The 15,215-nt window shown below is 50.3% G+C and overlaps 1 long non-coding RNA gene across 2 annotated transcripts; it reads left to right on the plus strand.

Moving 5' to 3' along the window:
* Positions 1-3,725: 3,725 nt before the first annotated feature.
* LOC100996681 (uncharacterized) lies at positions 3,726-8,113 on the plus strand. 2 transcript variants are annotated; one of them, XR_158931.5, is made up of 3 exons: positions 3,726-4,188; positions 5,706-6,809; positions 7,324-8,113. It is a non-coding gene; the product is annotated as an uncharacterized LOC100996681 (long non-coding RNA). The 2 variants fall into 2 exon arrangements; XR_935920.3 differs by having other exon boundaries at positions 3,748-4,188; positions 5,706-5,822.
* The last annotated feature ends 7,102 nt before the right edge of the window (positions 8,114-15,215 follow it).

Below are 15,215 nucleotides of genomic sequence, written 5' to 3' on the forward strand. Positions count from 1 at the left end.
AGGAACTTGGGCGGCATGTTCCTCCACACCTCCAGGCTGCGGTTCACCGGCACGCTCCTCCTGTCTCATCCACCAGGGATTCCTATCTGTCCCTTACATTGTTTCCCTCTCTGTAGAGCCAAGCGGGAAGGGCCATGTTCACCTTTCAGCTCGGTGCCCCACCCCCATCCCCCAGTTGCTCACTCACATGCACAAGTTCATCTTGCTGCACCAATGAGTCTTCTCCTCCATGCTCACCCAGTCTTCCTTGGATCCCCAGGTGTCGTCCTGGGTGTGTCCGGTGGTGGGTGCTCAGTAAACGCTTGCTGGATGGAAGGGGAGACAGCACCACTGTGGGGGGCGGGGACTGTGTTTCCACCAGCCCTCGGTAGGATCTTTTTTTTTTTTTTTTTGAGACGGAGTCTCGCTTTGTCACCCATGCTGGAGTGCAATGGTACAATCTCAGCTCACTGCAACCTCCGCCACCCGGCTCCAAGCGATTCTCCTGCCTCAGCCTCCCGAGTAGCTGGGACTACAGGCGCCCAACACCACTCCCAGCTAATTTTTGTATTTTCAGTAGAGATGGGGTTTTGCCATGTTGGCCAGGCTGGTCTCATACTCCTGGCCTCAGGTGATCTGCCCGCCTTGGCCTCCTAAAGTGCTGGGATTACAGGCGTAAGCCACCATGCCCAGCCCTGGATTGAGAATGTTCTAAAGACAAGAGCTTTTGGGAACGCTGCAGCAGGAGACTTGCAGGTGTGCAGAGGGCTCTTGGGGGCCTCATGAGCAGCTGGAGGTGACCCCTCTCCCCACATGTCTTAAACAAGGGTACTTGGCCAAGACAGTACAACTGGAAATAAAGACAACGAAAAACAGTCCAAAGATTAGAAAGCAAGAGACAATATTATCATTCTTGGCAGAGAATGTTTATATTTACCCAGAAAGTCCAAGAGAATTCATTGCAAAACAGAACTGCTAAGAAAGCCTGGAAAAGTGGCCTGATAAAGACCCATAGCTTCCTGCATGCCAGGGACGAGCTGACTGGAAAATAAAGTGGAAAAGGCCTCATTCACAGCATCAATAAAGTGATAAATGACACCAGCTTAACATGAAATAGGCCAGACCCATACAAAGAAAAAGAGAAAACCATAAAAAGGGCAAAAAGACGTGCCTCGTTAGAGAGAAATGGTTCTTCCCCGGATGGGAAAACCCGCTAGCGTGAAGATTCAAGTTCTCTCCAACTTTACCCGTGTTTTTATTGCAATTCCAATGGGAAAATAATTCCAAAAACATTTTCACTGGTGTTTGCCAGAAAAATGCTTATGTTCCTCAAAAAGAGGAGGTGCAGGCTGGGCGCGGTGGCTCACGTCTGTAATCCCAGCACTACAGGAGGCTGAGGCAGGTGGATCACTTGAGGCCAGGCTGGCTAGCCTGGCGAAACCCTGTCTCTACTAAAACTATAAAAATTAGCTGGGTGTGTTGGTGTGTGCCTGCAGTTCCAGCTATTCAGGAGACTAAGGCAGGAGAATTGCTTGAACCTGGGAGGCAGAGGTTTCAGTGAGCCGAGATCATGCCACTGCCCTCCAGCCCGGGCAGTAGAGGAGGTGTGGTAGGGCTGAGGCGCATTGCCATACCCCTGTGTGCATGCCTGAAGGGACAGGGAGGGGACTTCCTCTCCAGCTGCCTAGAGGAATATTGCAGCCAGCTCTCTTAGCAAAGCCACATGGTCACCGTGAGCTTGGGAAGTGTGGGGGCACCTCCTATGTAGTACTGGCTCTGAGAGGCTTGGGCCTTAGTGCTGTTTTCCCCTAGTGGGGGTCCCTGGACAAATGATGTTGCCAGCAGTGTGTTCCAAAACCACCACGGTGGGAGGGATGAGCGTCTCCTGCAGGTCATGACACTCCAGGCTGGAAAGCATCAGAGAACAGAGCATGGCTGTGGGCCCTGGGGAAGGGGACCTGTCTTAGTCTGTGTGGGCTGCTATAACAAAATGCCTTAAGCTAGGTGGCTTATAAACAACAGAAATTTATTTTTCACAGTTCTGGAGGCTGGGAAGTCCAAGATCAAGGCCCAGGCAGATTCGGTGTCTGGTGAGAGCCCGTTTTCTGGTAGAAGGTGGTGCCTTATATGGTGGAAGGGGCCAGGGAGCTCTTTGGAGCCTCTTTTATATGGGCACTCATCCCATTCACCTCCCACAGGCCTCATTTCTAACACCATTACATTGGTGATTAGGTTTCAACATATGAATTTGGAGGGGAGTGACTGAACATCCAGACCACAGCACGATCTAATTGGCTGAGCCCAACTCACAAACTAGACTTGCGAGATGGCTGTCTGCCGAGGTCTCCTTGGCCCTGACCGGGCAGAGGGGGCTCAGTAGGGCTCTTGAGGGTCTCAGCATTGTGAAGAGCTTGGGGCAGAAGGGTAGGGCAAGACAGGAGGATGGTGAGGGCCTGGCTGTTGGCCACAGAGTGACCTCTGTCCCCACCCTCTCCCGGGGCTTCCTAGGGCTGGGAGGCAGAGCCTGGAGTCTTCTCTGGTCTGCAGCTCCTTTGTTGTGTGACCTGAACTATGCTTCTGCTTGGTGTCTCAGTTTCCCCATTGGTAACTGGGGCGTTGACTGGATTTCAGGGCTCAACTGGGCTCCCTTTCTCGGCAGGTGGAAATTGCCATCTTATAAAGGGGAACCTGGATGCTGCTGGCTGGGAGCACTGGGTGGACCAGGCCACAGCCGAAGGCCCAGGAGAGGTGGAGAGAGGCTCCATCCTGAGTGGGGCTCTTCTAGGCCCTAGAGTCTCAGGCCACTCATGCCACTACAGAGGGAGAGACAGGGGCTACATAGGGAGGGTGTGGACCAATGAGGGGTTCAGGGTTCCCAATCCCACATCACGCCTTCCCGTGAACCTGGAGATCTCTCCTGTCCCAACAGGCCTGGAACCAGCTGTTGGCATCAAGGCCTTGCACGCATGACCCAGACAGCTTCCCCTCTCCCTCCTTCCAGCCTGCTGCTTCCATACTAGATTCGGGGCCATTTTGCCGCAGGATTCATCGGAGGGCCGAGAGGGAGCTGCCGGCTTTTCCACCTCCGAGCCGAGGTTACTCTCAGATTCATGGGAAGCCATAAACCCGCGCCCTATTTCTGCTCTAATTGAAGCGATTTGTATTGTGACTAAAATAATCAGAGACAATTTTATTGGTATATTTTTAAAAATAATTACAGCCCATATATTTATGTTATATAACTGCAGTGACAATTTGATTGGGTTCCCCAGGGCCCCAACTTGAAGAGCCTGTGTGGGAGTGGCCCCATCCCTGCCTTCAGCACCCTCCACCTCCCCCAAATCTCGGGCAGAGGTGATGTTGACAGATGCAGTCCCCAAGGCCTGAGGCTCGGTCAGGGACTTTTCAGTGGGCATGTCTTAAAAATTTTGGGACAGCCATGCCAGCCCAGCGACCCCAAAGCGCCGTAGGGAGGTTGGGAAGAGATGGAGGGGGGCTCTGGAGTCTGGCTCAGCTCTGGCCTTTGTGGTGGGTGTCTGTGCCCTGCCATCCAGCATGCAGTCACTGACCTTCTTCTGTTCTTCTCTGGGGACCTCCTGCCTTTGTCCTCCTGCTTCTGAACAGCTGACTGTCCCAAAAACTCTGGGGTTGACCAATCAGAGCATCACATTCTCCAGCCATGGTGATTGGTTCAGGGCTAAGCACATGACCCAATCAGAGCCAATGACATTGCACATGCCCCAGATGGACTCCCGAACGGTTGGGGATCCCGAGCCGCAGGCTGCCATCTTGCCCCATGTGGGCACTGGAGAATGGGGCTAGTGTAGAGAAGACCCTAGAAGAGAGATGTGGATGGGACAGGGTCCTTGTGGCATCATTTGAGATTCTGAACCTGGAGCTGGGGCTGCTCCCAGAGTTTTTGGATATATGAGCCAATACATCCCATTTTGGCTTAAACCTGCTGTAGCTGTAGGACTGTGACCAAGAGTTCTATTTCTATGAGTCCCGCAGGCTTGTTTCCCCACCTCTAAAGGGAGAGAGTAATCACTCCCGTGGTCTGTTATGCCTCGTCATTATCTGTGTATAGTAGAGATATCTTGGTGTATAGCACCAAGCACAGGACTTGGACAGAGTTAACCACTCAATAAACAGCAGCCATGGCCGTCGTCAGGAGCATTGTGGAGCACTGGATGCTGTCGCTGGTATAAGGTGTGGGCAGAGGAGACAGGGAGAGGTTACCAGGCAATGTCCCAGCCCAGAAGGAGGCCCTGCCCCCACATGCTTATAGGTGGCAGAAGCACGGTTCCTGCTGGCTCAGCAATGCCTCCTTGCCTTCTTCCATCAGGGCCCCTCCTGCTCAGCCAGGGTCCCGTACTGTGCCCAAACCAGTTCTGCATTGTTCCTCCCCAAATAGCTCAGGCTGGAAGGAAGGAGCTAGGGAAGTGAGGAGGGGCTAGGGAGGGGGAAGAGCAGCGGCCATAGCTCCAGCACAGTAGGATCTGACTATGGGCGGGAGAGCCTCGATCGCGGGGTGCTCTGGTGCCCAACTTGGCTCCTTCCTCTTAGCGATCGCCCCAGCTCTTTGCTGAGCTGTTGGATGCCTCAGTGTTCCCAGGCAAATCCCCCTGGGGCCCTACCTTTGGAGCTGAGCTGTGTCTGGCCTGCACATCCACCAGCACCACACCAACACCGGGCACTGAAGACCAAAAGCGGATCCAAACTCCCACCCGCTCTGAGCAGGTTTTCTCTCCTACGGCAGCCTTCACCCGGAAGCCACAGCTGTTAAAGCTGCTAGCGGGTGGTGAGGGCCTTGTGGTTCTGCACCCAAGAAAGCCTTCTCTTCACTGGCTTCAAACCATCTTAGTCTTAGATAGCAGCACGGGCCTCAGGGATAGCCCCCAGGTCTACCTTGTGGGAATGACACCTTCCACTCCTGGAGGCTTGTCCCATGAGTCCACTAATAGGGAAAGGGCTGAAAAGAGCGCTGGGGCTGAAACATTCAGCTGGCTGTTGGGTCCCCAGGCCCTCCTGACTGCACAGTTTAGTGGAGACGTGCAAACTCGCCCAGTTGCACACACTCACATGTACACATATGCACACGCACACACACACGCACACTTTCACATGGGCATGCCACACATACACACATATGTGCGTGCTCATACCCACGCACACTCTCACATGGGCTTGTCACACATACACACATGTGCGTGCTCACATCCACACACACTCTCACATGTGCACAATTGCACACATGCACACTCTCACAGGGGCATGTTCACACCCACGCACACTCTCACATATGCATAATTGCTCACATCGGCATGGTCATACACATGCATACTCACATTGTGTACACTTACACACACACACACACACACTCCTACACATGTCCACACTCTCATGCATGCTCTCACATGAACCAAAATACTTGCCTCTTCTGCCTATAGCAGAGCAGAGGTGCGTCCGTCGATGCCCCATGGTGTTTCTCAGGATCCACGCATCCCATGTACTGAGTGTTGTTAGCCGGGAGATTGCCTGCTCCTGTGTGGCTGCGCTCTCACCAGTCCTGAAGGTCCTTATAAACATTGGTGCCACCCATCTTGTAGGACATTCTCTGCCCGGCCCCAGGAGCCTCAGCAGAGGTCCCCTGATTTCAAACATTCTTTTCTGTCATTAGAGCTTATGTTCCACAGATGACTTTGAAAATCTTGCCACCTTCACAGGCCCAGACATGACGGTGCAGAGGACATCAGGACCAGCAGGACATAAAACCCTCACGGTCACAGGGAGAAAGTCAGATCCCGGGCACCTGACACAGCCAAGCCCTGCTCTCAACATGTGTATGACAATGGGTGTGATAGAGGTGCCCCCTGCCTCTGGGTCTGGGTTACATGCCCCCTTCTTTGAGTCCTAGAGGGAACAGCCTGATAGTGGGCACACCCCTTCCTCTCCCTGAAATGACCTGGCAGACCCCCTTCCCCCAGTGATGGCCTTAGGGATTCCCAGCCATCACCCCTCCCTCCAGGAACCCCTCATCCCATCCTTCCATAGGGCCACCACACAGACAGGCCCTCTCGACCTTTCCCACCATGCTCTGCACAACTAGGATGGGCAGTGCCCCACCCAAAGCACTGCATGCCCCGCTCCCCATTGTCACAGTAGGTACAGGACATGGGTCTATTAGATCTTAGACACTACAGTCCGTACATGCCAATCCATTCCCAGAAGACCTCCCCTCCCCACCCCAGTGTCACTGAGCCACTTCCTCCAGCACAGCCCCACGGAGGGAGGCCCTTTTGTGTCTTGCCCATCACCTGGCTGGCCAGATCTGCTCAGCTCTTCCCTGACTCAAGAAAAACAAGAGAGCTTCATTAGTCCGTTTTCATGCTGCTATTAAAAACTGCCTGAGACTGGGTAATTTATAAAGGAAAGAGGTTTAATGACTCACAGTTCAGCATGGTTAGGGAGGCCTCAGGAAACTTACAATCATGGCAGAAGGCAAAGGGGAAGCAAGACACCTCCTTCACAAGGCAGCAGGAAGAAGTGCAGAGCCCAAGAGGAAGAGCGCCTTATAAAACCATCAGGTCTCGTGAGAACTCACTCACTATCACGAGAACAGCATGGGGAAGCTGCCCTCATGATTCAATTACCTCCACCTGGTCTCTCCTGTGACACATGGGGATATAAGGATTATAATTCAAGATGAGACTTGGGTGGGGACACAAATCCTAACCATATCAAGTGCTCTGTGGTCCCAGATAAGCCAAGAAACCTTCGTGGAGGAGGCCACCCCCACCCTTGGCCTCCAGACCCAGTGGGATGCCTAGGTAAGGATGGAAGTGTCCCTTAAGAGGGCTGGCATGGATGTCACATGTTCCATGGCACACCTTGAGGGTAGGCAGCCTTGAGCAGTGGGCGGGGAGCTGGGCCTGCAGGGACACAGAGCCCTGAGGTCTTGTCCTTGGACCCCTGATCTGGGATCCTCAGGGGCTCTGGGAGAAAGCCCCTGTCCCCTGCTGGTGCTGGTGGTGTGGTACAGATAACCTGGAAACCCTAAAAGAAGCAGGGATGGAGGGAAGGTTGCTGAGAGGTGGTCAGAGAAGCTGTTATGCAGACTGGGGGCCAGGGAGGTACAAGGGGAGTCCAGATGGGGGCTGTGGGAGGGACAGACAGACAGCAGACTGGGTCACCCCCAGGCTCCCCTTCTGGGCCCCCCAGGAAACGAATAGGTCCAGCCCAAAAGGGGCTCTGGGAAGACTGCTCCCAGCACCTCTGTGCTGCCAGCCCTAAAGGCACCCACCCGACCCCCACACACGCTGAATCTCCACTCCTTGTTTGCAGGAGGAAACTGAGGCCCAGGAGCCTGGAGATGTGTCTGCTCCAGGTCACACTGTGGGCTGTAGGGGTCCGGAACCCAGACATGTGGACTGCGCCAGGCTCTAGCCAATGACTCCTCCAAACCACTGCACCTCCCCAGCCCTCCAGAGTTCTCATCTGAAAAACGGGGCATCAGGTCTGAAGGTCTTCAATGCCCCTTCTGGCTGGGATATCAGAGTTTTGGGACCTCTCTCTCCAGGTCCTCATGAGTCCAGCAGGAGCTCTGGCAGGTCCAGGGTCCCCTCCTTCCCTCTGCTGCCACTGCTCAGCACCCAACCCTTTTTAAAATTAGCTCTGTGAGTTACAGAAGTAATCCCTGCTTTCTTGTTAACATGTTTCAAACAGCACAGAAGGGTTCAAGGTGGAAGCTGAAGGTACTCCCCAGTCTCCCCCACAACCCCCAGCCCACCTCTGCTAGGTCCCACATGGCCTTTGGGAAACATATGCATTGTTCCCTCTTCCCATAGAAGCCAGAAGGGAAGTCTGGAATCAGTGAGCCAGGTACAGCTCTGGGCCCAGGCCCAGAGATCCCACACTCATGCCAGCCCCTACCCACGCCAGCCCCCTCCCTGTGCCAGCCACCGCCCCTCCATCTATGCAGGCCCCCTACCACCAAGCCCATCGATAGGGGCTCATTATTCCGTCCTGTCTCCCTAGGATGGGGCAGAGTGACAGCTGTTCCGTGTTTAATTACCGATGGGCTGAGGCTATGCCAACCCATGAATAAAATTACAGTTGTTCTGCAATGCAAATATTGCGGGCCTCCGTCTGAGGGTGCGTGCGGGGCTGATCTTCATTGGCTGACTTTTTTAATGAAAAAAGTTTTATTACATTTTAAAGAACATTCATAATGATGAAATTCACACACCTCAAGATTTATACAGCACTGCAAACAAGTGGCAGGAGAAAGGGAGTTATTTATAACTTCAAATAGGCTTCTATCCTCTGGTTGCATTGTTGTAGGGTGCAGAGCATTTTTAGCTGATAATTGCTTTAATGGTAAATGAGAAACTTAGAACCAAATATCGGAAGTGCCTAAACAAGGAGAAGCCTCAGCTAAGATGGGGGCGAGTTGACCTTATGGGTGGGGAGGGAGAAAAGGGAGCTCGCTCTCGCCAAGGCTCATGGGGTAAGAACACATGGCAGACGTTCAGCACTGGCAGAGGTTTGCCATCTGCGGGTGCCCACTGGGCACAGGTTCAGCTTATGGAGAATGAACTTGGAGACATGACATCCTCCTGTCGGAGCCGCAACCGCAGGGCTTTCTCCTCCCATGGTCGCTGTGGGATTTCGTTCTGTGTGGTGTATCCATGCTTTGTGTGACTGGAAATCTCATCTGAGCACAGCTGGATAGGTGATAATGCAAACTTTCGATTCCATCATCTAAATCCATACCGATAGGAATACAGAACATCTGATTTGATTTCCCCTTGTACTAAGAAAACGGAGCTTCCCAGGGAAGGTGGGCATTTCCTGCTGAATGGGACTGGAGGTGGCATTTCCTTTGCTAAGCCTTCCCTGCAGATCCTTCCCTCTGGGGACGCAGCTGAGCTCAAGAACAGTATAGCTGAGAGAAGCTTCTCCAGCTGGCCCTGGTCCCCATCTCTAAACAGAACAGAACCTGCTTCAACTTAGCACCGTCAACACATTCATTCGTTCATTCATTTTGCCGACATGTGTTTGTTGAAAGCTTACTACAAGCCAGGCTCCTGGCACGTTCGGATGAGGAGGATGTAGTCTGTGGCCTCCAAAAGCAACTGAACAGGCAAGACCTATACGCAGAGACAACTGAGCCTCACTAAACATCAGTGTGACAAGGACAGTAATGGAGGTATAAATGCCCAGGGACAGGGACAGCAGAGAAGAGGGCCTGGCTGTGTCTGGGGGTGGAGAGGTCAGAGAAGGGGCCATGCAAGCCAGCCTTGAAGGATGTAGAGGAGTTTGGAGTGGGCACATGCTTGGCAGGGCAGCAGAGTGACCATCAAAGGCACCCTCCAGCTTGAGGTCTGTGGGAGGGAGGGGGACTTTGAGTGTCTGGAGCACGGGGTGGCGTCTATGTTGGGGTGCAATTGGGATGTGGTGGAGTGTCAGGCGGAGGAGCCTGACCTTCTTCCTGGGGCATCTCTGCTGCTTGGAGCTGGGGTTCAGGGGCTCTGGAGGCCGCACGGAATGCTTATAGATGGTGGGGGCAGGGAGGGCGTTTGGGATAGGGATTGGGCCAGCCAGTAGGCACATGAGACAGTTAGAAGGAGAAATCAGTGACTCCTGCTTCCCTTCTCTTGGAGGTCAGCCAAGCCTGGGTGTCTCCTGTTCATTCAGCAAAATACCTCATCCCGGAACAAGCGTGCAAAAGGAGACAGGGCAGGATTCCAAACCAGCTGCAAGGCTCCCTCTCGGTGTCCTTCCCCACTTCGGCATGTCTGTGCGTGCATGCTGGCTTCTGTGCATGCATGCTGGCTTCTGTGCATGGGTTTACATGTATGTATGTCTCTGTATATGTTTGTGTGTGTGTACTTAGTGTGCGCTTTCATGTGTGTTCATGCCTGTGCGTGCATGCTGGCTTCTGTGCATGGATTTACATGTGTGTATATCTCTGTATATGTTTGTGTACTTCAGTGTGTGTGTGCCTGTGCATGCTTGTGTCTGTGCTGAGTGTACATGTGTCTGTTTATGTTTGTGTATGTGCAGATATGTGTGATGTGCTCATATCTGTGTGAGCGTGTGTACATGTCCATGTATGTATGTCAAGCACAAGGGTGTGTGCTTGTGTGAATGTGCACTGATGTATGTGTTTAAGGATTTGTGTGTGTTTGTGTTTATGGATGTTTGTGTGTGTGTGAGGGTGCATGCTTATTAGGGGATCTGTGCCTAGACCAGATACCTGGGTTTTTTTTGTTTTATTGTTTTGTTTTTGAGATACAGTCTCACTATTGTCACCCAGGCTGGAGTTCAATGGTGCAATCATGGCTCACTGCAGTCTCTAACTCCTGGGCTCAAGCGATCCTCCCACCTCAGCCTCCTGAGTAGCTGAGACTACAGACGTGAACTACCATATCTGGCTAATTTTTAAACTTTTCATAGAGAAAGGGGTCTCATTATGTTGCCCAGGCTGGTCTCAAACTCCTGGCCTCAAGCAATCCTCCCACCTCGGCCTCCCAAAGTGCTGGAATTACATACAGGAGTGAGCCACTGCACCCAGCCCAGACACTGAGATTTTTAAAATTAGTCTGACACTCTGGAACCCACACAGCCTGACACCACCACTGGAGATTCTAAAGTGAATCCCGTACAAGCCACGCACACAGCCCCTGCCCTTGGGTGGCTCGGGTCCCTGAGGTCTCCTTGGTGAGGGGAAGAAAACGGAAGCCTAAATAACAGCAGCTGCCTTATGGAGCAGCCCAGGCCAGGCTCAGGGGGTGTGGGGGTAAGAGGATGTCTAAGGACAGCCAGGCTGGTCCTCTGCTCACCCGGAGCCAGAAGTGAGGTAGTGCCAGCCAGGCCCGGGGCAGCCTCAGGGGCCCCGAAGATGGGAAGGGTGCCCAGATGCCCGTGGTATCTGGGAGTGCACATGAGTGTGTGTGTACATATATGTGAGTGTGCAGGTGTGTATATCTGTGTCAGTGTGAATAAACACATCTGTGTGTGTATTTGTGTGCAGATAGGTATGTTGGTGTCTGTATATGTGCACATGTGACTGTGTTTCCTGACCCAGGAACAACTATCTCTTGACCAAAGTTAACCAAAGTCTCATAGAAGAGGTGGGGATGGGGCAGGGAGGACAAGGCAGACATCCCACTCCTGTCCTTCCCCACAGTAGCCCTCTGACCTGCCAGCGTCAGAGCCATTAGGAAACAAGCCATCCTAATGGCTCGAGACAGTGGCCAGTGGGCATCGCGTATACTCCAGGGCACTCTGTGGGACGGGAGTTCATTGTTGGCACTGGAGGCCTGTTTTATTTTTTCTTTTCTTTTTTTTTTTTGAAACAGGGTCTCGCTATGTTGCCCAAGCTGGGGTGCTGTGGCACGATCATGGCTCACTGCAGTCTTGACCTCCCAGGCTGAAGAAATCCTCCCACCTTAGCCTCCCTGGTACCTGGGACTACAGGTGCACGTGCCACCATGCCCAGCTAATTTTTATATTTTTTTAAGAGATGGGGTTTTGCCATGTTGCCCAAGCTAGTCTTCGGCTTCTGGGCTCAAGCAATCCAACTGTCTCAGCCTCCCAAAGTGCAGAGATTACAAGTGTGAGCTGCCAAGTCCAGCCCTGTTCCCTTCTTAATGGCTTACTTGGGGTTTCAATGATGACAGGGTCATTACTGGGTTTCAGGAACCTTCCTTAAGCAGCTGAAAGAATCCGTTGAGCTCTGCTTCCTCTTCCCTCTTCCAGGCTGAAGGAGCTGGAGGGGCCTGGGGCCTCCTTTGGGGAGGCCAGGAGGATTTGGTGATTAAGTGAATGGAATATGCCCATTGTGGTAAAAATAGCAGAGCTGCGGTTGGTGGAGGCACAGAAGCCCGGCCGAAGGGACCAAGGGGTGTTCGGGAGGGAGGAAGTCCAGTTCTGATGATTTATTAAGGTGTACAAAAGAACCTTCAGAACAAAGACCCAGAGATGCAGGAAATGTTGTCCATTTTTCTGCTTAGGTTCAACGACATATGGACAGCCATGTCGAAACAGATTGGACAATAAGGGCTGATAGACTGAATGGCAAAACCCAGCCAGGCCTGTCTATCTAGATTCTTCTTGGCCTCTCTAAGCAGCGTTCCTTTCTTCTGGGTAGGCGGCAAGGCCCCTTCTGGAATGGCGGGGGTGGGGGGGGGGGTCTCGTGACTTACAGTCAAACAAGGTAGGTCAGAGATTGTGCAGGTTTGTTACACAGGTATACATGTGCCATGGTGGTTTGCTGCACTTATCAACCTGTCATCTAGGTTTTAAGCCCTGCTTGCATTAGGTATTTGTCCTAATGCTCTCTCCCTCCCCTTGCCCCCCAACCCCTAGACAGGACCTGGTGTGTGTTGTTCCCCTCCCTGTGTCTATGTGTTCTCGTTGTGCAGCTCCCACTTACGAGTGAGAACATGCGGTGTTTGGTTTTCTGTTCCTGTGTTAGTTTGCTGAGGATGATGGTTTCCAGCTTCATCCATGTCCCTGCAAAGGACATAAACTCATTCTTTTTTATGGCTGCATCGTATTCCATGGTGTATATGTGCCACATTTTCTTTATCCAGCCTATCATTGATGGGCATTTGGGTTGGTTCCACGTCTTTGCTATTGTAAATAGTGCTGCAAAAAACATATGTTGTGCATATGTCTTTATAATAGAATGATTTATAATCCTTTGGATATATACCCATTAATGGAATTGCTGGATCAAATGGTATTTCTGGTTCTAGATCCTTGAGAAATTGTCACACTGTCTTCCACTATGGTTGAACTAATTTACACTCCCACCGACAATGTAAAAGCATTCCTGTTTCTCCACAGTCTCACCAGAATCTATTGTTTCCTGACTTTTTAATAATCACCATTCTGACTGGCGGTTTTGATTTGCATCTCTGTAATGATCGGCTAACAAACATATGAAAAAAAGCTCATGATCACTGATCATTAGAGAATTTCTTTATGGCCAGTTTTTACACAGAAAGGCAGAGGGAAAGTTAGAGTTATATTTTTAGGTTTTATGGCTGGCTTTGGGGGAAGAGCTTCAGATTCTATGACCAGCCTTGGGGAAGAGGGATTCTAGTTTTTATGGTTAGCCTCAGGCAAGAATGGGACTGAGAGACAGGAGGGCAGGAGAAGGTCAGAGAAAAACTTTTGTTTTGGAGGCTGTTTCTGGGGCCCTCATTTTGGACCGCAGCAATAGCTGGGCCAGAGGGAGAGTGGCGGGGGCTCAGTGGTCGGACTCAGAGCTGGCTTGTCCACCTGCAGAGCTCTTCTCCCCATAGATGCCCCCTACCCAGGAGGGCGTTGTGAGTCCATTTCACAGGCCAGGAAACTGAAACTCAGAGAGGTTGTGCAGCTGCCTGTGGCCACTCAGCAGGCAAAGCCAGAGCTGTTGCTTGCACCAAGGCCACCTAAGCCCAAGGTGCCGCCTGCCCCATGCAGCTCTCCTCTCCTGCCACTCAGCAGGGAACTCCAGAGTCCAGAGATGGGGACCATCCCTGGGGCAGGCACTGGGCAGCCGCGATGCTGGAAAATGCTCAAGGTTTCCTTTCATCACAGCCCAGGCCACAGCGCCTCATTTGCCAACTGTGTTCTGAGAAAACAGCAACGATAGAAAGGCACCAGTGAGGAGGCGGCTGGAGCTCTGGGCTGTGAGGCTGCGTTTCAGGATTGAGAGGCTGCGCTGGGAAGAAGGGCCTGCCTTGGGGGCTGAAGGCAAATCCTAACTCCTACTGCATGTGATATAAAGGGTTACAAAATTAAGTATAAATGCATCTCTCTAAAGTCACTTTTCTTTCTGTGTGTGTATATACGAATATTTGTATTTATTTATTATTCCTAAAAAATAATTGTATTTACTGTTGTTTATTGTGTTGTATTTATTATTCCTTGCGTTTTATTGTATTGCATTTTATTATTTATCTATTGTGTTTATTATCTATTGTATTTATTATTGTATCTATTATATTTATTATTCCTGAAAGTTTGTACTTATTATTTATATATTGTATTTATTGTTTATTATTGTATTTAGTATTTATTATTGCATTATATTTATTATTATTTATTGTATTTATTATTTCTAAAGAGTTTTTAGGAAACTCTGTATTTATTATTCCTAAGATAAAGTTTATTGTATTTATTATTCCTAAATATTTATACATTTATAATATTTATATATTATATATTCACATATTTGTAATATTTATGTTAGTTACATTACATATAATATTTATATTATATATTACGTATGTATAATATGTATATTATATATTTACATATTTATAATATGTATATTATATATTTACATATTTATACAATTTATATATTATGTATTTATATATTGTATATTTATATATTTATAATATGTAAATATTTTTATATTATATTTAGGAACAATAACATTGCACTTATTATTCCTGAAAAAGTCTGGGGCAAGATTAATTTGATAGGATAAACACAAGTACTACAATGCTGTTTTTTTGGCACCCCAGAACTGGTAGGCTGATCCACCAATATTCTTTAGTCAAAGTTCTTAGGGCCTTGAACTGGAGGTAAGAGGATAAGCCCAACCTTAAGTCTCTTGTATTTTAGAGCTTGCCATATATATTGCTGTGAATACGCAATATGATTTAACCATAGCATAGCAATTTAACCAAGGAGGTTGAGTTGTAGCAGGAATAAGAGTAATAACTTTTGGGCCAAGCACGGTGGTTCACGCCTGTAATCCCAGCACTTTGGGAGGCCAAGGCGGGCAGATCACGAGGTCAGGAGTTCGAGAACAGCCTGGCCAACATGGCAAAACCCCATCTCTACTAAACATACAAAAATTCGCCGGGTATGGTGGTGGGTGTCTATAATCCCAGCTACTCAGGAGGCTGAGGCAAGAGAATCGCTTGAACCCTGGAGGCGGAGGTTGCGGTGAGCCGAGATTGTACCATTGCACTCTAGCCTGGGTGACAAGAGCAAGACTGTCTCAAAAAGAAAGAAAGGAAAAAAAAAAAGAATAATAACTTTTGGTAGAGTAAATAATGCCTAAACCTCACTTATTGATCTCCTCCATGGGTCAGGCACCCCAAGGCCCTCACAAGTCTTGGTTGTCTTAATTAATTTAAGCCACAGAACTTGAGGTTGGCCCTGTGATCTTCTCCATGTTTAGAAGAAGCAGCTGAGCTTTCTCTCCAAATTCCCTAGAGACA

This window comes from Homo sapiens, chromosome 19 (assembly GCF_000001405.40).
Source record: "Homo sapiens chromosome 19, GRCh38.p14 Primary Assembly".
NCBI lineage: Eukaryota > Metazoa > Chordata > Mammalia > Primates > Hominidae > Homo > Homo sapiens.